The sequence below is a fragment of the Homo sapiens genome, chromosome 13 (assembly GCF_000001405.40).
Source record: "Homo sapiens chromosome 13, GRCh38.p14 Primary Assembly".
Classification (NCBI taxonomy): Eukaryota; Metazoa; Chordata; class Mammalia; order Primates; family Hominidae; genus Homo; species Homo sapiens.
The window spans coordinates 54,826,167-54,850,699 of NC_000013.11; the positions used below are offsets into that span (position 1 = coordinate 54,826,167).

The following is a 24,533-nucleotide window of genomic DNA, read 5'->3' on the forward strand; positions in this document are numbered from 1 at the left end:
GGAATACTATGCAGTTATAAAAAAGAATGAGTTCATGTTCTTTGCAGGGACATGGATGAAAGCTGGAAACCATCATCTTCAGCCAACTAACACAGGAACAGAAAATCAAACACTGCATGTTTTCACTCATAAGTGAGAGTTAAACAATAAGAACACATGGACACAGGGATGGGAACATCACACACCGGGGTCTGTTGGGCGTAGGGGAAAGGGCAGGGATAGAATTAGGAGAAATACCTAATGTAGATGACGGGTTGATGGGTGCAGCAAGCCACCATGGCACATGTATACCTATGTAACAAACCTGCACATTTTTCACATATATCCCAGAATTTAAAGTATAATAAAAAAATTATGTACAGAAAAAAAAGATTATTTGCAAGCCTCATGGTAATCTCAAATCAGAAAAAAAAAAAAGATATACCTAAAATAGAAAGCAAGGAAATAAATCATACCATCAGAGTAAATCACCTTCACTAAAAGTAAGACAGGAAAAAAAGAAAAAAGGAAGAAAAGACCACAAAATAAGTGGAAAGCCACAAAATGACAGGACGAAGTTGTTTTTTTATCAGTAATAACATTGAATGTAAATGGACAGAACTCTTCAATCAAAAAACACAGAGTGGCTGAATGTATTACATTACAAAAATAAAAAATCTGTTCCCTACAAGAAACACACTTCACCTGTAAACAAACACACAGACTGAAAATAAAGGGAAAAAAGTGCAGGAGTTGCTATACTTATTTCAGAAACAACATATTTTAAAAGAAAAACAATAGAAAGAGTCAAAAATGCCATTATATAATGATAAAGAGGTTGAATCAGCAGGAGGATATAACAATTTTAAAAATATATGCACCAAAAACCAGGCACCCAGATATAGAAAGCAAATATTATTAGAGAAGAAAAGAAAAATAAGTTTAGCTGAGAACTTCAACACCCTACTTTCAGCATTGGGCAGTCATACAGAAAATCAACAAAGAAAAATCAGACTTAATCCGCACTATAGATCAAATGGACCTAATAGATATTTACAGAACATTTCATCTGGTGGGTACAGAATACACATTCTTCTCCTCAGCACATGGATCATTCCCAAGGATAAACCATATAATGTAGGCCACAAAACAAGTCTTTAAAAATTAAAAAAATTGAAGTTATATCAAGTATCTTCTCTGACTACAATGGAATAAAACTAGAAATCAATAAGAAGAGGCATTTTGGAAACTATATGAACACATGGAAATTAAACAACATGCTACTGAATTACCAGTGGATCAATGAATAAATTAAGAATGAAATTGGAATATTTTTGAAACAAATGATAATAGAAACACAACATGCCAAAACCTATAGAGCAAAAGCAATACTAAGACAACAGTGTTATAGCTATAAGGATCTACATCAAAAAAGAGGAAAAACTTCAAACAAATAACCTAAAGAAGCATCTTCTAGAATTAGAAAAGCAAGACCAAATCAAATCCAAAATTATTAGAGGAAAAGAAATAATAAAGATCAGAGAAGAAATAAATGGAATTGAAATAAAGAAAACAATACAAAAAATTATTAAAATGAAAAGTTTGTTTTTTGAAAAGATAAAATCAATAAACCTTTAGCCAGACTAACTAAAAGAAAAAAGGGAGAAGACTCAAAATTTTAAAAATCTGAGATTAAAAAGGAAACATTACAACTGATACCACAGAAATTCAAAGGATCATTAGAGGCTACTAAGAGCAACTATATGCCAATAAATTGGAAAAACTGAGGAAAATGAATAAATTTATAGACACACACAACCTACCCAGATTAAGCCTTGAAGAAATCCAAAACCTGAACAGACCAATAACAAGTAACAAGATTGAAGTTGGAATAAAAAGCCTTGCATCAAAGAAAAGTCCGAGACCCAATGGCTTTACTGCAGAATTTTACCTAAGATTTAAAGAACTAATACTGATCTTACTCGAACTATTCTGAAAAATAGAGGACAGAATACTTCCAAACTAATTCTACAAGGGTAGTATTACCCTGATACCAAAACCATACGAAGACACATCAAAAAAATAAAACTACAGGCCAGTATTCCTGATGAATATTGATGAAAAATCCTCAACAAATATTAGCAAACTGAATTCAATATCACATTAAAAAGATCATTCATCATGACCAAGTGGTATTTATCTCAGGGATGCAAGGAAAGTTCCGCATATACAAACCAATCAGTGTGATGTTGTGTCTGGAATTGGTGGGTTCTTGGTCTCACTGACTTCAAGAATGAAGCTGCGGACCCTCGAGGTGAGTGTTACAGTTCTTAAAGGTGGCGTGTCCAGAGTTTGCTCCTTCTGATGTTCAGATGTGTTCGGAGTTTCTTCCTTCTGGTGGGTTCGTGGTCTCGCTGGCTCAGGAGTGAAGCTGCAGACCTTTGCAGTGAGTGTTACAGCTCTTAAGGTGGCGCATCTGAAGTTGTTTGCTCCTCCTGGTGGGCTCATGATCTTGCTGGCTTCGGGAGTGAAGCTGCAGACCTTCGTGGTGAGTGTTACAGCTCATAAAGGCAGTGTGGACCCAAAGAGTGAGCAGCAGCAAGATTTATTGCAAAGAGAAAAGAACAAAGTTTGCACAGTGTGGAAGGGGACCCGAGCGGGTTGACACTGCTGGCTTGGACAGCCTGCTTTTATTCTCTTATCTGGCCCCACCCACATCCTGCTGATTGGTAGAGCCGAGTGGTCTGTTTTGACAGGGCGCTGATTGATTCGTTTACAATCCCTGAGCTAGACACAAAGGTTCTCCAAGGCCCCACCAGATTAGCTAGATACAGAGTGTAGACCCAAAGGTTCTCCAAGGCCCCATCAGAGTACCTAGATACAGAGTGTTGATTGGTGCATTCACAAACCCTGAGCTAGACACAGGGTGCTGATTGGTGTATTTACAATCCCTGAGCTAGACACGATGCTGATTGGTGTGTTTACAAACCTTGAGCTAGATACAGAGTACCAACTGTTGTATTTACAATCCCTGGGCTAGACATAAAGGTTCTCCAAGGCCCCGCCAGAGTAGCTAGATACAGAGTGTCAATTGGTGCATTCACAAACCCTGAGCTAGACACAGGGTGCTGATTGGTGTGTTTACAAACCTTGAGCTAGATACAGGGTGCTGATTGGTGTGTTTACAAACCTTGAGCTAGATACAGAGTGCCGATTTGTGTATTTACAATCCCTGAGCTAGACATAAAGATTTTCCACGTCCCCACCAGACTCAGGAGCCCAGCTGGCTTCACCCAGTGGATCCCGCACCGGGGCTGCAGATGGAGCTGCCTGCCAGTCCTGCGCCGTGCACCCGCACTCCTCAGCCCTTGGGTGGTTGATGGGACTGGGCACCATGGAGCAGGGGGTGGCGCTCCTCGAGGAGGCTCCAGCTGCACAGGAGCCCGGGGAGGGGGTGAGAGGCTCAGGCATGGCGGGCTGCAGGTCCCGAGCCCTGCCCCACGGGAAGGCAGCTAAGGCCAGGAGAGGAATTGAGCACAGCACCAGTGGGCTGGCACTGCTGGGGGACCCAGTACACCCTCCACAGCCGCTGGCCCGGGTGCTAAGCCCCTCATTGCCCAGGGCCAGCAGGGCAGGCTGGCTGCTCTGAGTGCAGGGCCCGCCAAGCCCACGCCCACCCGGAACTCCAGCTGGCCTGCAAGCGCCCTGCGCAGCCCCAATTCCCGCTGGCACCTCTCCCTCCACGCCTCCCTGCAAGCTGAGGGAGCGGGCTCCGGCCTTGGTCAGCCCAGAAAGGGGCTCCCACAGTGCCGTGGTGGGCTGAAGGGCTCCTCAAGTGCCGCCAAAGTGGGAGCCCAGGCAGAGGAGGCGCCGAGAGTGAGCGAGGGCTGTGAGGACTGCCAGCATGCTGTCACCTCTCAATACATCATATCAACAGAATGCAGGACAAAAGCCATATAATCATTTCAACTGATGTGTAAAAAGCATTTGAGAAAATTCAACATCTCTTCATGATAGAAATCCTCAAATAGCTGGGTATAGAAGGAACATATCTCAATACAATGAAAGCAATTTATAACAGACTCACAGTTAGTGTTATACTGAAAGAAAAAAAATCTGAAAGTCTTTCCTTTAATATATGAAATATGTCAAGGATGCCCACTTTCACCACTGTTATTCAGTATAGTACCATAAATCCTAGCTAGATCAATCAGAAAAGAGAAAGAAATAACAGGCATCCAAGGAAAGGAAGAAGTCAAATTATCCTTGTTTGTGGGTGATGCACTCTGATGTTTGGACAAGTCTAAAGACTTCACCAAAAAACTATTAAAACTGATAAACAAGTTCAGTAAAGTTGCAGCATACAAAATCAACATTCAAAGGTCAGTAGCATTTCTACATGCCAACAGCAAACAATCTGAGAAAGAAATCAAGAAAGTTTCCCGTTTAAATAGCTGAAAATAAAATAAAATACCTAGGGATTAATTTATTTAAATAAGTGAAAGACATCTACAATAAAAAACTATAAAACATTGATTTAAAAAGTTGAAGAGGACACAAAAAATTTGAAAGTTATTTCACGTTCGTGGTTTAGAAGAATCAATATTGTTAAAATGTCCATACTGCCTAAGGCAATCTACAGATTCAATGTAATTTCTATCAACATACCAATGACATTATTCAGAGAAATAGAAAAAAAATACTAAAACTTATATTAAACCGCAATAGACCCAGAATAGCCAAAGCTATCCTGAGCATAAAGAACAAAACTGGAAGCATCACGTTACTTGACTTCAAATTATGCTACACAGCTATAGTAACCAAAACAGCATCATGTTGGCATAAAAAATAGACACGCTGACCAATAGAACAGAACAGACGAACCAGAAACTAACTCCATACATCTACAGTGAACACATTTTTGACAAAAGTGTCAAGAACATACATAGGGAAAAGATAGTGTCTTCAATTGATGGTGCTGGGATAACTGGATATCTGTATGCAGAAAAATGAAACTAGACCCCTATCTCTTGCCATACACAAAAATCAAATCAAAATGGATAAAAGACTTAAATGTAGAACCTCAAATGATAAACTACTGAAAGAAAATATTGGGAAAAATCTCCAGTACAATAAACTAAGCAAAGATTTCTTGAGTAATGTCCAGCAAACACAGGCAACCAAAGCAAGAATGGACAAAAGAGCCACATTAAATTAAAAAACTTATCCACAGCAAAGGAAACAACCAAGTGAAGAGACAACCCCTTGAATCAGAGGAAATATTTACAAGCTCACCATCTTACAAGGGATTATAAACAGAATATATAAGGAGCTCAAACAACTCTATCGGGAAAAAATCTAATAATCTAATTAAAATGGGCAAAAGATCTGTATGGACATTTCTCAAAAAAATGTAGAAATGGAAAACAGGTATACAAAAACATGCTCAATATTACTGATCATCAGAGAAATGCAAATCAAATATATAATGCGATATCATCTCACGCTAGCAAAAATGGCTTTTGTGCAAAAGACAGGCAATAAGGAATGCTAGTGAAGATGTAGAGAACCGTCAGACACTATTGGTGGGAGTGTAAATTAGTACAACCACTACGGAGAACAGTTTGGAGGTTCCTTAAAAAACTAAAAATAGAGCAACCATATGATCCAGCAATCCCACTGCTAGATATGTACTCACAGGAAAGAAAATCAGTATATTGAAAAAATATATACCCTCGCATGTTTATTGCAGCACTGTTCACAATAATTAAGACTTGGAAGCAACCCGTGCCATTAACAGATGAATGGATAAAGAAAATGTGGTACATATGCACAGTAAAGCACTATTTAGCTATAAATAAAAGAATGAGATCCTGTCATTTGCAACAACATGGATGGAGATGGAAGTCATTATGGTAAGTGAAATAAGCCAGTCACAGAAAGACAAATTTTGCATTTTCTCACTTATTTTTGGGAGCTAAAAATTGAAACAGTTAAACTCATTGAGACAGAGAGGAAGAATGGCCACCAGAGCCTGGGAAGGGTGGCCAACGGGGTGAGGGGATGGAGGGCAGAGATGGAATGGTTAATGTGTACAAAAATAGAGTTTAAAAAATGAATAAGATCTAGTTCTTGATAGCACAACAGAGTGACTACAGTGAACAATAATTTATTGTACTTTTTAAATAACGAAAACAGTATAATTGAATTGTTTGTAACACAAAGGAAGGATAAATGCTTGAGGTGATGGATACCCCAATTACCCGGATATGATTATTGCACATTGTATGCCTGTGTCAAAATATCTCATGTGCCTCATAAATATAAACATGTTCTGTATACCCATAAAAATTAAAAATTAAACATTTCAGAAAAATAAAAAATGTAACAATTTTTTTAATTTTATATATATACAATTTATCAACTAAAAGTTTTAAAAGTAAAATGATATGTTTTGATAAAAATTATTTTGTCAATTAGTAATATAAACATGTTCTTCACACTATAAAATTAAATTAAATGTAGCCTACAGCTGCCTTTATTCTTTGAACTCCTACATAGTATACTTCAACCTAGCTTCGTATATAAACAAACTGCAACCTAACTAAAAGTTTGTTTGTAAACAGTGAAGTTACAGCCAATCACAGGAGTCAGACTTCAGCCAATCATAGGTTGCTAATTGATCAGACCATGCTCATAAAAGGCAAATGCTGAGCTGTAATCAATCATACTGCTTCTGTATGTCATTTCCTATTTCTCTCTATTAATACTACCTGCCCACTCTTGCTGGATGGAGCTGTCCTGGTTCAGGATGCTGCTTCATTCATGAATTGTTCTTTGCTCAGATAAACTCTGCTGAATTTAATTTGTCTAAAGGTTTTCTTTTAAGAAAGCTAAATGAGAACTTCTTTTAAACTATGATGAGTGTCTTTTTGTCTGCAGCAGTAAAAATTCTACTGTCTTGAAATAAATTCATGGAGAGTTACAGTCTGGATAAGCATATCTTCCTAGTTTTGGACTTCAGCATTGCTAGAGAAGCTTAGATTAGAAGTGTTTCTCTAGATGCCTGAGAGCATGGAGTGGGAGGATTGAAGTGTTCATGCATTATGCTGGTTTAACATGAAGGTTTTTTAACCCTCCACTTATGAAACTGTGTATCAATAATTGAAATTTAATAAAACATAAAAGGGTTAGGCCAATTATGAGATTTTGAGTCTATAAAAGGTCAAATAAATGCAGTGGATAAGGTTAAGCAAGTAAATAAACAACTGCTTCTCACTCAAGGATTAAGCTTCTCATTATGCAAAGTGTACGGTAGGATACTGGGAACAACTGTAGAGGCACAGAATGGTCTCCCTTCCCTTAGAAAGTTTTAAAAGTGTTGAGGGAGACATTACCTGTATTTATAAAGCATCAAAATTCAAAACAGTGGGCATAGCAAACATGTATTTAAAAGGCATATAAATAGATTTCTGCATATAGACAACTAAACAATGTAGCATATAATAGCATCTTCTGAAATAAAAGGAATGTCAAATGTAATTCCTCTTTATTTTATTTTATTTTTATTTATTTATTTATTTATTTATTTTTTGAGATGGAGTCTGGCTCTGTTACCCAAGCTGGAGTGCAGTAGCATGATCTCAGCTCACTGCAACCTCCGCCTCCCGGGTTCAAGCGATTCTCCTGCCTCAGCCTCCCGAGTAGCTGGGATTACAGGCATGTGCCACCATGCCCAAATAATTTTTGTATTTTTAGTAGAGACAGGGTTTTGCCAAGTTGACCAGGCTGGTCTCGAACTCCTGACCTCAAGTGATCCACCTGCCTGCCTCAGCCTCCCAAAGTGCTGGGATTACAAGTGTGAGCCACTGCGCCTGGCCCAAATGTAATTCTAAACTATCACTTTAAATTTGTGTGTGTGTGTGTGGGTGGGGGGGTGTATTAAAAAAAGTTTTCTCCCTAATTTTTAACACACTCTATTATTTTTTACTAATATACTTCATTTTCCTCAATTTGTTTTCCTTTCAATTACTAAGGCTTGTCTGGTTTTCTAGTGCCTAAAGCAAAAATGAGTAGATGATTATCTTATTTGAAACACTTCAACAATTACAAGGTAACTAATGGCATGAAATAGTTAATTAATTGTGTTCTCTGATGTGCCTTGTTTTTCCTAAAGTGTTGTTTTGTCTTTAATTACAGTCGTGCATTGATTAACAACAGGGATAAGTTCTGAGAAATGTGTTGTTAGGCAATTTCATTGTGAAAACATCATAGTGTGTACTTAAACAAACCTAGGTGGTATAGCCTTCTACATACGTAGGCTACATGGTATAGTTTATTGCTCCTAGACTGTAAACCTTTGAGCATGTTACTTTACTGAATACTGTAGGCTATTCTAACACATGGTAAGTGTTTGTATATCTAAACAAATCTAAACATAGACGATACAGTAAAAACATAGTGTTATGATCTTAACAACTGCCATTTGTATATGTGGTCTGTTGTTGACCAAATTCTTCCATTGTTGACCAAAACATTGTTATTTGGCACCTGACTGTATTTCTCACTGTGGGATTTCATTCATTTACGAAACAATTTGAGAAGACTCACACTTTAAATTTTTTTAAGCAGACAAGTATTAGAGGCAAAATAATAATACAAGAAAAGTCATGAATAAGCCTAGAAGGAATAATGTAGACAATCAAGAAAGAAGACTTTTCAAAACCTATCATATCATGAAATCTTTTTAAAACCTATCATGTGAAAATTGTATACAGAATTTCCTTCAATTGTATTCACAAATGTGGCCAGACAGAATATAAGCACTGAAATAGAAAAGAATAGGGAAAATAGAAGATATTATATTAATCTCTCTTTCTGTATTCAGTACTATAAGATTTGATTTATCATGTGGTTCAGTTTCGAACAACTTCTAAATGTAGAGAACAGGTTAAAAAATAGCATTTTACTGGAGCATCACATGTGGTTTTAATGCTTTCCTTTGCAGCTTTCAGTGAAAAGTAAATTCTGTTGAAAAACATGAAGAGAGCTACTCTTTGGAAAACAAATGTTTTTGAAAGACATACCACCTTTTTCAATAATGTTATTATATTTCACCCCTAAAATTAGGGATAGAACAGGTGTTACAACAACAATAGATCTGTAATGTGTTCTTTTTCCTTTGCAGCCAAGTCTTTAGTTTTGTTTCACATGCCTAGAATCAGAGAGGCAACACTGGGCAAGAACACCAATTGTCTTTTGCATTTAATGTGAATTTAAAAGGGAGTTAAGAAAGTCAGTCTCCTTAGAGTTACATGTAATTTTAAACTAAAATAATTTTACTCACTTCTACCACCTTGTTAATAAACATGTTGGAATCCAATTAATTTTCAATTTCTTCAACATTTTAAATGTTTATTTGGAAGGTAAAATAGTATTTTATTAATCATGAGGATTCATTTTATTTTGGAGCCAGACTGCTCATCTTCAAATCCTACCTATGCTATCTTATATTCTGTGAGCTTAGGCAATTTTCCTAAGTATCTGTGACTCAACTTTGCGATTTAAAAATGAAGATTGTGATGATAAGAACTATCTTACAATTTCTTGTATGACGGTTAAATGTGTGTGTGTGTGTGTGTGTGTGTGTGTGAAAGAGAAAGAGAGAAAAAGGAAAGGGAGAGAATTTACAGGAATGCTGACACAGTAAGCCATAATCAAATATTATGTGTATTGAAACTCTGTTTTAAGGCACAGTCTTCATTATTGTGAATTAAGTATAGCATAATTGTCATTGGCTACCATTTTCCAAAAAGTCTTATTCCCATATTATTACAAAATAAATAAGATTACTAACTTCTAATAGCATAATTCCTCATTCTATAAATTTGAGGTTTTGTTCTTCACTCCTATCAATATATTACATTATTATATTTATATGGATATACATAAACATGTACTATTTGTTTTACAAAAATAAAATACTTTTTGAAATTAGCCTATATCTTGAATTTTTTTTTCTATTGTTAGATAACAAATTACCACAAATTTAGTGGCTTAAAGCAACACTTATCTATTATCACACAAGGTCTGTGGGTCAAGAAGCCTACACACATCTTAGCTGTTTTCATCTAGGTCCTTTGATCCTTGGTGCTGATGGTGGTTTGAGTCTTACCTGATACTTAGGGTCCTTAAAAGCTCTGGTGATTGTTAGCAGAATTCGTTCCTTGCAGCTGTGGAACTCGTAGTGGCTTTTTTAAAGACCTTCAGGATAGTGTGTGATTTCTTTCTTTAATCCTTGGACGTTCTTTTAATGGCTTCACCTGATTAAGTTAGGCTCACCAAGGATAGTCGTCCTTTTGATTAACTTAAAGTCAACTAATCAAGAGCCTTAATTACATCTGCAAAATACCTTTACCTTTGCCACACAATTTAACATAATCATGACAGTTATAGCTCATCACCTTTGCCATATTCCATTCATCAAAATTAATTTAAAAGCTCTTCCCATACTCAAAGGAGAGGGGATTATACAAAGTCATGGATCACTGGAAGTCATCTTAGAATTCTGCCTACCACAGCTTTTCTGCTATCTGGATTAGTATACCCGAACTTCTTATATTGTTTCACTGGTTATTTGAGTTTGTCACTCTGTATGACTTTTTTTTCTTATTTTGATTTTGTTTTTTGCATACCCACCATTGTGAAATATCAGGTTAGTCTCAGTTATGTGCACTTTACGTGTGGTTGTCAAGGAGTAAAATGTGTTCAATTGCAAGTAAATTCACAACACATTGAGTTGTGATAATTTTATACTAGATAATTTTAACACGTACTTTAAATATTTGGTGCTTCTTGCCTAAATTTTTGGTAAGCAGTGAATTCAGTTGTTGGACATTAGTGCTTCACCTTAGAGGCAAACATTTGTCAGCATCATCTGAAGCTTCTTGACCAGTTTAATTGGAGAGTATACTCTGCTTTCAATGAGAACTAATAAAAATACTATTTGAAACTGCTTAACTGTATGAAACTTGAATTTCTAAAAACTCTGCCATCCAAACAAGATACAGAAATAGATGCTGAGGCTGAAATATCAGCAACAATCATCCACAAACCATATATTGCAAATCTTGTGGTTATTATTCTTTAGTTATATTATTCTTACTCATTTCAAGGATTAAAAATGTAATCTTATACAATAAATATATGGTTAAAATATTCTGCTTTTATTTACAACAAGTGTGATGATTGAGGTTGGTGTTTTGAGTGAGATTTTGCTTGATTAAAGGGTCTATTGCTTTAAAAAGTTTGGAAGCCACAAAAGTTTGAATAATAATCTTGGAAAGGCTTGATCTACAGTTAGTAAGTGAATTTAGAAAATTTAGAAGCCTCATCAAGTAATAGTTAACTTCAACTATTTATTTGAAGGGACTTATAGAGCTATTTTACAGTTTTACCATACTTACCCAATCTGATAATGGGACTGCTAACATCACCTCTTCCAGCTCTTAGTTAGTTGTGATCAGTTAAGACCCCATTCATTCCCCCCTACAATGAAATATAATAACCCTTCTATGTGGCTAAGTTATATATGTGAATAAATACGCTTCTACCACCAAGATCCAATGATATGCATTTCATCAGATCATGTTGGCTATTTCCATCATAAACTGTAATTTTAGTTAACTGCAGGCTACAGATGGTCCATGATATTGTTTTCTAAATAGAGTAGATACCTTAGTAGATTGTACCTAAGTGACAAAGATTCCTCTCTTGGAATTTAGGCCAGGAAAATACCTAAATCTAAACATCCTAAAGTGTTTTGCTTCTTAAGGTTTTTTTGATTTCTAATCTTATTGAAGTATAAAGAGTGCCAACCTCACACACTTAGAGTACAATTTAATCAGTCTTAACATATGTACATACCACAATCAAGATAGTGAACATTTCCATCAGCGGCAAAAATTTCCTTTACCCTTCATAAATCTCCTCTCCCTCCACTACCTTCCCCAGAGAATAATTGATGTACCTTCTTTTATTACAGATTAATTAACATTTCTAGACATTTATATAAATGAATCATATAGTATGTGCTCTTTTTGTCTGGCTTCTTTCACTCAGCTACTGATTTTAAAATTCATTCATGTTGTGGAGAACATCAATAATTCATTCCTCTTTATTGTGTAGTAGCATTTCACTGTATGAATGTAAAATATATCTTGATGTATATTTTGGTAGAATACTGTAGGGATATTTTATGTAAATATCATAAATCTACCTGCTGATTTTATAATGGTTACATGGTATTAAATAGCATAATGATACTATTTAATCATTTAATGCTGCAACAAACCCATTTGTACATGCAATTTTTTGTGCATGTGGATATTTCTGTAGGAGAGATGTCAAGAAGTGGAAAAGCTGCCTCAAATGATATGCCCAATTAAATGTAGGTAGATATTGTATTATGACCTCAAAAATTGCAACAATGTACACTGTAACCAATTTTATATGACATCATATTTCCTACATCCCCTCTAAAACTAGTTTTATCAATAATTTTAATATTTGCTAGTCTGATAATCATATTTTATTTAAAATTCTAATTATGTATTTACTAGTGAATTTGTATGACTTTATACTATACATGACACTTGTACAATTATTTTTAAAATTGAATCTTCATATTTTTATCAATTTTTGTCATATTAGATTATTGTCTTATTTTTATTGATTATTAGAAACTGTATTTTATATTCTTAGACACATCTTTCACTTCTGTTAGGAATCTTCCTTGATTTACATCTGGTATTTAAACATTGTTTACTATGCTATGTTTCTTGCAGAAATCGAATATTATACTATAATCTAGGATTCTGAGATTTATCTTGATGAAAAAATAAATACTATCAATTATGTTTTACTTAAAACATCATTTATTAAAACTTTTATAAATATTGTTTTATTTAGTTCATTATGGTAAGGGAGAATTTAAGTCTTTCTGTTTTATATGAACAACTGAAATGTTAAATACCATCTACTGTTTGCCCTTTCATCAATCATCCGAATAACCAACTTATCACATTTAGAGGTCTTCAGTGTTTCTGCATCTTATTTTAGCATTAGAGTCCTTAAAGTTACGAAGTGGCTTAAATATTTGGAAAGAAACTCAAATACAACTTTTGCAGATGATGTAATTGTATTCATAAAATATGCCAAAAAAAGGTCAAAATATAAATAAAATAAATTAATAACAAGGAGTAGTAAGGCCACTGGATTTTAAAAAACCATATACCAAAGTCAATTGAATTGCATTTATAAACATCGGCAACAATTAGTTAGGAGATATAACTTCAAATGAAATGTAAAACCTTATGGATAATCGTAAAGATATATTGAAACTTAGGATACATTGTGCTTTTTATAGGACAGCAGAAATCATAAATGAGTCAATTCAGTTTTATTTGCTTATAAATAATACAAAATATAAAAGGAGTTAAAGGATAGAATGCAATAATGAAAATCTGTTGTGATTTTATTAAAATCCAAAAAATTAGCCTTTTGAGACCAAAATCTTTATGAGATAAATATCCATGTACATAATAATAATTTTTATAATTCAAAAAGGATTTTTGAAACCTGTACATTTTAGAGCTAGAAAAAAATGAGTCATCTAAAAAAGTAGAATAAGAAGAAGGCATGGCTTTCCAGACATAAATATTTAACATAAATGTGAAGTTATTATTATATATTGGTATTAGTGAAATTATGGACAAATGGGCCAAATAATCTGAAATTGACCCACACATATATGTAAATTTTGTTCCCAAATCTTTGGATATCGCATGTTTATAACAAGAGATAAAATGATGCTGGGACCAGGGGGAGATAAAAGTTTAAGAATTGTAAAAAACTAATTAATTAAAAATAAAAAAACTATCTTTTCGGCAAAACATCACAAAAAGCTGTAAGAATATTACAAAGCTCAAAGATGAAAGCAAATGGAAAAGGTAGGTAAAAGATATTTACTAGAATATTGTTGAAGAAATCAATATACAAAATATCAAATTTTGAAGCAATCTTTCCCACCTCACTAGTAATCATAAAATAAATATTAAGCCATAATAAAATATTATTTTAAACTCATCATACCAAGAAAAATAACCGAAGTTGGGCAGTTTTTAGTTGGTGAGCATGCTAGGCAATCTGACCTTTCATCCACTGCTATGCAGAGTATAAACTAGTATAATCACTTTGAAAGACATTTTGGGATGTATCAGAAAAGTTGCATAGTTGCATTGATCCACAACTCTGCTTTCTAATATATACCCTAGAGAAACTTGTAAAATGCCCCAGGAGGTACATACAAAAATATTAATAGCAGCATAATTTACATAAATAAATATTGGAAATAACCCAAATAGTTATCACAAAGAATATATATAGCTAAATTGTGATGTCTTAATTCAATGGATACCATTCAGCAAAGAAAATTAATAAATGACAACAGTATACCTCAACAAAGCTGATTTAAAAATCAGAATTTTGAATAATGGAAGCTAGTTAGAGAAAAAATTACATATAATTATCTTTATGTATAGTTCAAAAATGAGCTATAGTTAAATATTGTATTGTTTAATAGTGAATATGAAAGAGGTAAGAAGGAGGTAATAATTAATATAGGACATGATGAATGGTTATATCTTTTTTTTTTTTTTTTTTTTTGAGACAGAGTCTCACTCTGTCGCCCAGGCTGGAGTGCAGTGGCGCGATCTCAGCTCACTGCAAGCTCTGCCTCCCGGGTTCATGCCATTCTCCTGCCTCAGCCTCCCAAGTAACTGGGACTACAGGTGCCCGCTACCACACCTGGCTAATTTTTTTTTTTTTTGTATTTTTAGTAGAGACGGGGTTTCCCCGTGTTAGCCAGGATGGTCTCGATCTCCTGACCTCGTGATCCGCCCATCTCGGCCTCCCCAAGTGCTGGGATTACAGGCGTGAGCCACCGCGCCTCGCCGATAAATTATTATATCTATGAAAGGAGGGTTAGGCAAGCTGAGAGAGAAACATAAGATTCTTATGTACTAGCAATATTCTATTTCGTAAATTAGAGTGCAGTACATATATGTATGTTTTATTTTTTAAAGATGTTATGTCTTTGTTGAAATGGTCTTTTCATTAACGTTCTTTATGCATTTGTTTATTTTTTGGACATATTAATCACAGATATTTTGGAGTCTTTTTCTGCTACTTGTAATATTTTGAGTTTACCTGTGTATCTTTTTTCTATTTTTGACTTTTCTTTCTCTTGATTATTGGTTACATGACCCCATAAAATTAAATATCTATTACATTTTAAAATAAATGATAGATATTGTGATTAAAATGATCATAAAGACTCTGGTGATACTACCTTCCTTGGGAAGATCCACCTTTTTCTTTATTAAGTAGGTAGAATGAGGGACTGTTCCCCTGATTCCAGTCAGGATGAGTAATTCAATCAGGAAGCAGCTTAAGGATGAATTTAAGCTTTGATAAGACTTAGTTGACTTCTGGGTCTCTCCTGCTAGGGCTCAGCTTTTCATAGTTTACAAAAGAGAACTGGCATTTCCTTAGCCCAGGCACTCTAAACATTTCCACCCTTCTTTTAGCCTTTTCTTAAACTTGACTCTTTAGCATTCTGCCCAGAGCAGCTCCAGTTATTTCCAAATGTCTTGTGGAGCAGACTGGCTATTGAGTAACTATCTAAACCACTCCTGGTTTTTCTTTGTTCCAGTTTTGCCTTGTGCTTGAGACACACCCAGACCTTTAGCCTCCAGCCTGCAGAAATTGGTAGATTTCTTCTGTGAAAAGCCAGGAGCAAATTTTCAGCTCAATTCTGCAAGTTTCAATCTGCACTGGAATTTTAATCCATCATCTTCTATTTTTATATAACTTTCTTATGTCTTCAAAAATGTGACTTTTATGATTATTTTGTTTTTCTACCTATTTTCAGTGGGAACATTGGGTTGCCATAGAGTACTCAGTTATACCTAGAAGTGAAATATTTATTTTAAAAATATGTACATGCATATTTTCCTGATTAGTGACAATGTTGAGTACATGTTGAAAGATTATTTGGTTATCTTCTTCAGTGAAATGCTTCTTAAAGTCTTTTCTACTGTGCTGCCATCTTTTTTTATTGATTTCCGTTAGTTCATTATAGAATCTCTCATTCTATGGCATTTTATAAATAGGTGTTCTAATTTTAATGTCATCAAATTATTTAACTTTTAATATTAAAGTTGTGTCCTGTTCAATAAATATTTGCCTAACACAAAATTATTAGATATCCTCTTGTTTTCTTGTAAAAGATGTATTCTTTTCTGTTTCATATTTATATCTGCAATCTATTTGGAATTAGTTTTGGTATGTAGTGTGAAGTAGGGATTAAAATTTATTTTGTTCCATGTACACCTTTGTGTTTATAATATCTTTCACATGAGAAGATTCATAAGTTGAAATAAAAACTAGTCAGAAATATTTGAATAAGAATAGACTAGGAATTTTACTATTTAATTTTATTCATTATTATTATTATAAGAAACAGAGTCTCACTCTGTTGTTGCCCAGGCTGAGTGCAATGGTGCAATCATAGCTCACTGCAGCCTGGAGCTTCTGAGCACACACTCCTGGGCTGCCTGCCTCAGCCTCCCAAGTAGCTGGGACTATAGGCGCATGTCACCACTGTGGTCTCACTGCATTGCCCAGGCTGGTTTTCAACTCCTGGCCTCAAAGGATCCTCCAACCTCAGCTTCTCAAAGTGCTGGGATTACAGGCATGAGCCACTGCACCTAACTAACATTTACGTTTTAAAATATAATTATTGAACCTAAAATGCAGTCAATAATTTTAAAAGCTCTAGAGAGAAATCACAATGGAAGCTAGATCTTAAGAAATTGCGTGAATTGGCTGGGCAGGGGGGCTCACGCCTGTAATCCCAGCACTTTGGGAGGCTGAGGCGGGCCAATCACGAGGTCAGGAGTTTGAGACCAGCCTGACCAACATGGTGAAACCCTGTCTCTACTAAAAATACAAAAATTAGCTGGGCATGGTGGTGTGCACCTGTAATCCCAGCTACTCAGGAGGCTGAGGCAGGAGAATCCCTTGAACCCGGGAGACAGGTTCTGGCTCTCTCCTGCTAGGACTGCTGCAGTGAGCAGAGATTGCACCACTGCACTACAGCCTAGGCGACAGAGTGAGATTCCGTCTCAAAAAAAAGAAAAGAAAAAAAGAAATTTCGTGAATACAGCAAAGAAACAACAGCAAAAGACACAAAAGAGTAGTTAAAGACATGGATTACTGAATGAAAAGACCGCCAATGTCTGTCATTTCTAAAGGAATCACAAAGAGGCTAATGAGTGAATTGGGAAGAGGAAATACAAAGTGAGGACAATGTTTCAGATCTGACAAAAATAATCAGATTCAGAAAACAAATTACTGCAAGCAGGATGATTGAAACAAGTCTTCATGCAGAGATAGCCTAGAGAAACACACTACATAAAAAAGACAAAAAATAGATCTTAAGGTAAGCCAGAAAAGAAAAAAAGATGGTAACTTGAAAAAAGAACAGATCTCTCTACAGTAATGATAAAAATCAGAGAAAATGAAACTATAAATTGGAATTATACCCATCATACTATTTATTAGTTATTTTCTAATTTACCTAACCCATCAATATTATATTGATCTTTAATAAGGTATTTTTAAAATATTTAATGACATTGCACACCATTATTACATTATTTAAGTCCCATGTTTTCCCTGTGCTTCTGCAATAAGAGCAAATGGGGAGCTACACTCCTGCTTCTAAAGGGATAACAATCACAATTTTTTTTTTTTTTTTTTGAGACGGAGTCTGGCTCTGTCGCCCAGGCTGGAGTGCAGTGGCATGATCCCGGCTCACTGCAAGCTCCGCCTCCCGGGTTCAAGCCATTCTCTTGCCTCAGCCTCCCCAGTAGCTGGGCTACAGGCGCCTGCCACCACGCCCGGCTAATTTTTTGTATTTTTAGTAGAGACGGGGTTTCACCCTGTTAGCCAGGATGGTCTCGATCTGCTGACCTCGTGATCCGCCCCCCCTTGGCCTCTCAAAGTGCTGGGATTACAGGCGTGAGCCACCGCGCCTGGCCAACAATCACAATTCTAACAGTGACCACATATATCCATGACACACTAGGGCGCAGCACCAAACCACAGTACAAAAGCTGAGACAGAATGGGTATCTTCTTTCTTTAAGAAAAAATAAAATGGAAAGTTTAATGAAATGCAATGGAATTTAGCACCATGATGATTCTATAGTTACTATGTTTATGACAATAAACCTAAAGGACTAAGACGTTCTCACGTATCTTCTAAATATTAAAAGGCATTTGAAAACAATTTAATTATAATATTTAGTGCTTTAAAATATTTAAATGTTTTATCTAGAAATGTTGTCATATAAAATATTTGACTCACAGCATCCTATTTATTCCCTTACCAAGGCTGACAAAAGAGTGGAAAAAGAAAAAGAAAAAAAAATGAGAGAGAATATAAGAGACATCAATTTGACTGTATTTTTCCAAGCTGGCTCTACGCTTCAGGATAATTTGCTGTAATTATTTTTCTATTCTCATGAACCATACTAGTGTTACAACTACATATAGTCAAGTTCATTTAAATTACTTGGTTAGGAAAATTTTTGTTCCATTACTTATTTTTCCACTTGGTAAAATCGTTTTTGAAACATGCTCAAAATTTCTCCCTAAACGTTTTCATTTATACCTTTTACTGTGCAAACACACACACACACACACACACACACGTGTGTGTCTTCAAAGATGATGAGAAAGTACTCTGCTCTGTGGATAGATCTTTTAAGACTTGTATTTTGTTTAGGGTGGCTCAACAGACTTGAACACGTCCCACTCTGCCTTTGACAACAAAATGGCACACTAATTAGAAATACAGAATAAAAAAGACATTCACTCTATATATTGCTCTTTTCTATTGAAACAAGCAAGATGTGCTTTTGCCAGCACACTCTTCAATGTGGCATTTGGATGGTTAAGTAATCAGTGATCTTTGCTTTGTGTTTTTTGACAGCAAAGCATTATATGGAGAGATATACTAAGTTCTAATTCCTTACCCTTTTTCCAAGTTTTATAACTAAATAACCTTTTTAAATAAAATATTGCAACAGTCCTGCATTTGAGGATGAAAGTGCTGTTTTCTAAAAGGTCAATTCAATCTGGGAAATGTTTTCAGTTTAGACAATACATTATAAACTGTAGAAACCCATGGCAATTTTCAGCACCACTAACAACGTGAAGTAAATTTCAGTCACTCACAGTAAGATGGCAATGTGGTGACATTTGAAGCCTGGACGTGAGCTCTTACATTCATTGTAGGTGACTGCTGTGCAGCAGGGGCCTGTTTCCAACTGCCAGATGAATTTCAGATACAAATGAAAAAGATGATCAGAACGCTTTACAAAATGAGTGAGACCCCATCATCTGAGCGACAATATTCTTCTTTTATGGCAGGCAAGGATTAAAATACATCAAATTAATAAATCCCTAGGAAACCAATAATCTCACATTTGCTGAACAATTGTATCTTCTAGTAGTTATTATCTTTGAATTACAGTGAGCCACTATCTTTGTTTCATTTTCCAGATATATGTCCTTGTCCATCAAAAACTATGGCAGTTGCACTACACAGTCAAGCAATAAATTTATAAAACGTCTCTCTGAAGTGTATGCTTGTTTCATAATCCTGATTCCGTATCTTTATTTACTTCAAAATATATGGTACTGTCAGCATGAGGGTCAGAAGATTACGGTACGTTCTTTGTTTCTTTGCTAGTGTTTTTATTTAACTTGAAAAATAAACTGCAGCACCAAGGGAGTGATGAAATAAAAGATATATGGAGTCACAATGGCATAAAAATGGTAAACACGCAACTACAGCTATACCATAAGAAAGACTGTCATATCAAATCATAAAAAAAAGTTTACTTCAGTAACTCACATAGGTAACTCACATACCATCTTTATTAAAACTTCTAAAAAATACAAAAAAAGTGTAAGAGTTTTAAAGCGAACAGAGAAATCTCTGAAATTTTTATGCTATCCTCTGACTTTGACCTTAAGACACTGTTTACTGTGAGTGTGATTCTCTGTTGTTGTTAGTAATGGACTCATTAAGCATTTTTAATCTACTTGTGCTGAAAAACAGTAAACCTCATAGAAGAGCATATCCTGTAGAAGGCTGAAATTTACCTGTAAAAGCTATAAATACATAACCTGACTGTTTTAAATTTAAGAGAAACATCTCATGAAAACCAACAAAAAGAATATACAAGTCGGCATCAGAAATACTTTCTTACTTTAGAATGCTCTGACTTGGAACTACTTACAGTTTTAGAGTTCAAAATATCCTTTAGTTTAATTGAATTTACTAAGATAGCAGTAATTTAAAAAAATTCCTCTCTATATAAACATGAATTAAATATTGAAATTATTTTATATTACATCATTAATTAAATATGTTGAAATTCTTTTAATTACATGTTAAATTTCAAAAGATTATGGAAAATCAACTCTCTATTTCTATGATTAATTTTTATGATTAGGTCCTGTAAAAAGTTTTGGGAAGCATTGGGAGAGAATTGGGGGTATTTGGTATTGTTTGTTATTTGATTTTTAAAATATTTCTGTCATTATTCACATTTTACAAATGTAGAATTATAGCTTCTGATATTTCGTTACGGGTATAAATCACTATAATAGTTTTGCCAGTCTTTTACTGACCTCTACACTTTTTAAAAGATAGCTTTAAAGATTTACCAACGATTTCCATAACAACAATAAATAAATATACTAGGCCCAGTACGGTGGCTCAAGCCTGTAATCCCAGCACTTTGGAAAGCCAAGGCAGGCGGATTGCTTGAATCTATGAGTTTGAGAATAAAAATACAAAAATGTTAGCCAGGTATTGTGGTGCATGCTTGTAGTCCCACCTCCTTAGGAGGCTGAAGTGGGAGGATAACCTGAGTCTGGAAAGTTGAAGTTGTGGTGAGATGTGATCGTGCCACTGAACTCCAGCCTGGATGAGGAGAGTGAGACCATGTCTCAAAAGAAAGAAAAAAAAAGAATAAATATAGTTATATGTTCCTTTGCTAATTTAATCAACATTTCCCTAAGACCCAGGAGACTTATTCAATTTCTTGGAGCCTGGTTCACAACCTTATTATCTGGTTACACAATTTATATTGTGTTTCACATCTTTGGGAATGCTATGTTGTTCATTCAATACATCTAGAGTTGAGGACAATTTTCATTCACAAGCAGAGTACAAATATGAAATGCCTTGAGGCTTTTTGTTCTTCATGCTTAGAACTAAGTAAAATGTTCATAGTCTCATAGGACTTTCAGGTCAAAGCTTCACTGATAATATTTTCTGAGCAAAATTAAATAGGTTTAGGGGCAGCTATCAGCTATCACTGCTCCTAATTAATTACTATCTCTTGCTCCATTTTTATTAACCAGTTATATTGTTCTTCTTAGGTCTACCATTTTAACACTTCCAGTTGGACAACTAGGCATTTGAGACTTAATATGCATAAAAAAGTAATAACTTATTTCCCCTCTACCACTTCCCATCTTCTATCCCCTGTGACCTTTGAATATTTCAGTAAGTGGCATCAGCATTTTCTCATCAGACCATCTTTTATTCTGCTCTTCCCCTCCTACTACATATCCAATGCATCATGCTGTCCTATAAAATTTACTTCCAAAATATACCTTGAATTTTATTCTTATCACTGCCTGACTCAAAACATCACTGTCTCTCTTCTGAATTTCTACCATAGTCGGTTATCTGCTTTCCCTCAGTCCATTCTTGTCCCCAGCTATTCCATCTGCCATTTCTAAACATTAAATCCTGTCATATCACTACACGGTTAAAAACTATTCAGCAGATCCTCCTTATATTAAAAACAAAACCCAAAGCTTTCCTGTAATTTTATATATATATATATATATATATATATATTTGTTTATATAATATGTATAATTATATTTTTCTTTGGAAGTATTTTTTCAGTAGCAGTATTCTCATTTTTAAAATTTGAGTGGGTTTGAAATATATAATTGTTTATATAACACTTTTAGGAGTCTACAGTTTATTATGCTATTGACAATATCAGTTATTTAAATATATATATTGCTACTGAAGGAAGTATTTCCAAAGTAAAAATATAATTATTATATAAAAAAAATTAGATAAAATGTGTTGATGACTTTGTGCCTAAAATCCTTTGGCCTTTCTAATATTATTATAAAACTTCCTTTTTAAATATCACTCTTTTACTCATGCAGTCTGTCTACATGAAATTGTCATGTGAATCTAAAGCTAATCATATTCTGAGGCCTTTATATGACATGTAATATGTGAAAATACTTAATATTTATAACACTATAATGTGTACTCTATGTTTATTGCATGTAAGTGATGTGTCTATCATGTTGATCATTACTATGTAGGTAAATAATATGTATAAAAGCTTACTACATAGAGTAACTAAATGGAAAACATTTTTAAATCTCTACAGTGAAATAAAGCAAGTATTTTAACTTTTAACAAAAGGATACTTTAAATTCCCAAGTGTTATCTAGAGTGAGCCTAAAGCATTTTCAGTAGATAACATGTTGAAGAAAATTTTGTATTCTATGCAAGTGCTTGTTGGTCTTTGTTCATCTAAGAGGAGGTAACGTATATTAGTGGTCGTTATCAAGTTATCGCCATCAACTAAACAATTAAATTCAATAGTATTTTTGTTGTTAAAGATAAATTTCAGCTATACAGCATGTTATTATTTAATAGCCATACAAGAAATAGTAATCATAAGCAATATTGTTTTTCATTTTATCTATATTGTTTTTCCTAACCAACAAAATGTAAACTTTTCCTATAAAGTCATATACAAAATAGAAAAGTTCTTAAATTGTTCAAACCTTGATATGCACTCTGATGTTGGAATGTGAGGCGATGGTGGGCTAGTAGACACAACTCTAACACTCACATAGGCCTTAACCATTCATATTCATCAATATACTAAATCTTGCCATCTGTCTGTTTTCTTCAGAAGCAAAATTCTCAGGGCAGAGGTGTGCCAAGACTTAATTTAGGTGCATGCTGGGAGATCATTTGATGCCATTTACCTTCTTTTGATGTAGTGTCAGAAAGGTGGGGATTGAGGGGCAGAACGGATGGAAAGCTAATTCCTCCACACTCCCCTCTGAAAAAATTTGTTCTGTTTGGCATCCCTAAAATTTTTCTCAAATTGTTGTTCCCATGAAGTTAACATCTGCTTTAACATCTCTGGCTTTTGTTCTTATTCAAAATTCAGTTTTATTTTTCAACTTTTTACAATATATACGTATTTCAAATTCCTACATTTACCTCAAAATATATTAAGTAATATTGATAAGAATTCCTTCCACATCACCTTCCTTTCTATGTTGATTTAGTTCCAGAAGTGCTAGAACTAGTGCAGTTACTACAGGTAAACAATGATGATAGTTACTTGTAGTATGCACAGTAGACATAATTGCTGCCCCCACAAACTAACTATTTTAGCTATCGGTATTTAGCATAGTTTATTCCCCTGAGGAAACACTGTACCACATTTCCAGAGGGTACCTTGGGACAATCTCAGAGGGCAAGTGATTTAAATATAAGCAAATTATATACAATTGATAAATAATTATCTCTATAAGAAATGAATGTACGACTCTTCACATCTCTATATTTCAAGATCCTCTGAAATTTCTTACTTCAAACTTTCTTCTCATGTGGAAACATACTAAGAATAACATATCACTGGAGAATTACCCATCCTCGTGTATAATTTCTATCATTTTGCTCTGCTATTTAAGAAGTTTTGGTTGCTCCTGATTCTTGACGACATCAGATCCACACATTTTTATTTGGATTTTAAGATATTTATGGATCTTATCTCAACCTATCTGTACAACCTGCTTTTCTATTATTCTCCAATATGAATAATATGATCTTGTCTCTAAAATAATATGTTCACTATCTTTGAATGTACTTTATAAATTCTACAATGAGTTTTTATTCAAGGGTATATTAATTATTACAGGTTTCCATGCAGTGATAGAGACCTGAAATATACAAAATATAGATGTTTATTTCTTTTTCATGCTGGATTCATCTGGTGGCTTCATAAGTCATGGTATTTTACCACCATATCTACATTCCTGCCAGCACAAAGGGGAAAAAGAGAAGTAGGGGGCATGCACCTTCTCTTTTTGGGCATAATCCAGCAATAACACACATCACTTGTGCTTGAATCTCATTGGCCAAAGCATAGTAAGATTATAAACATATATGTAATTTTAAAATGAATTTCCAAACATTATTTTTCAACTTTTGGTCTCACCTGGTAGTCCACCTCTCCAAGGTTCTATAGTGCAAAGCACCCAATTAGCATTGAATTTTCTGTCTCCACT

The 24,533-nt window shown here is 34.6% G+C and overlaps 1 long non-coding RNA gene across 1 annotated transcript in view; it reads left to right on the forward strand.

Annotated features, from left to right (window-relative positions):
* LOC105370213 (uncharacterized) overlaps window positions 1–15,924 on the forward strand; it is a 49,122-nt gene extending 33,198 nt beyond the window's left edge. The window contains exon 3 of the long non-coding RNA XR_941975.3: window positions 15,752–15,924. This is a non-coding gene — a long non-coding RNA (uncharacterized LOC105370213). The remainder of the gene's footprint in view (window positions 1–15,751) is intronic.
* Window positions 15,925–24,533: the final 8,609 nt, after the last annotated feature.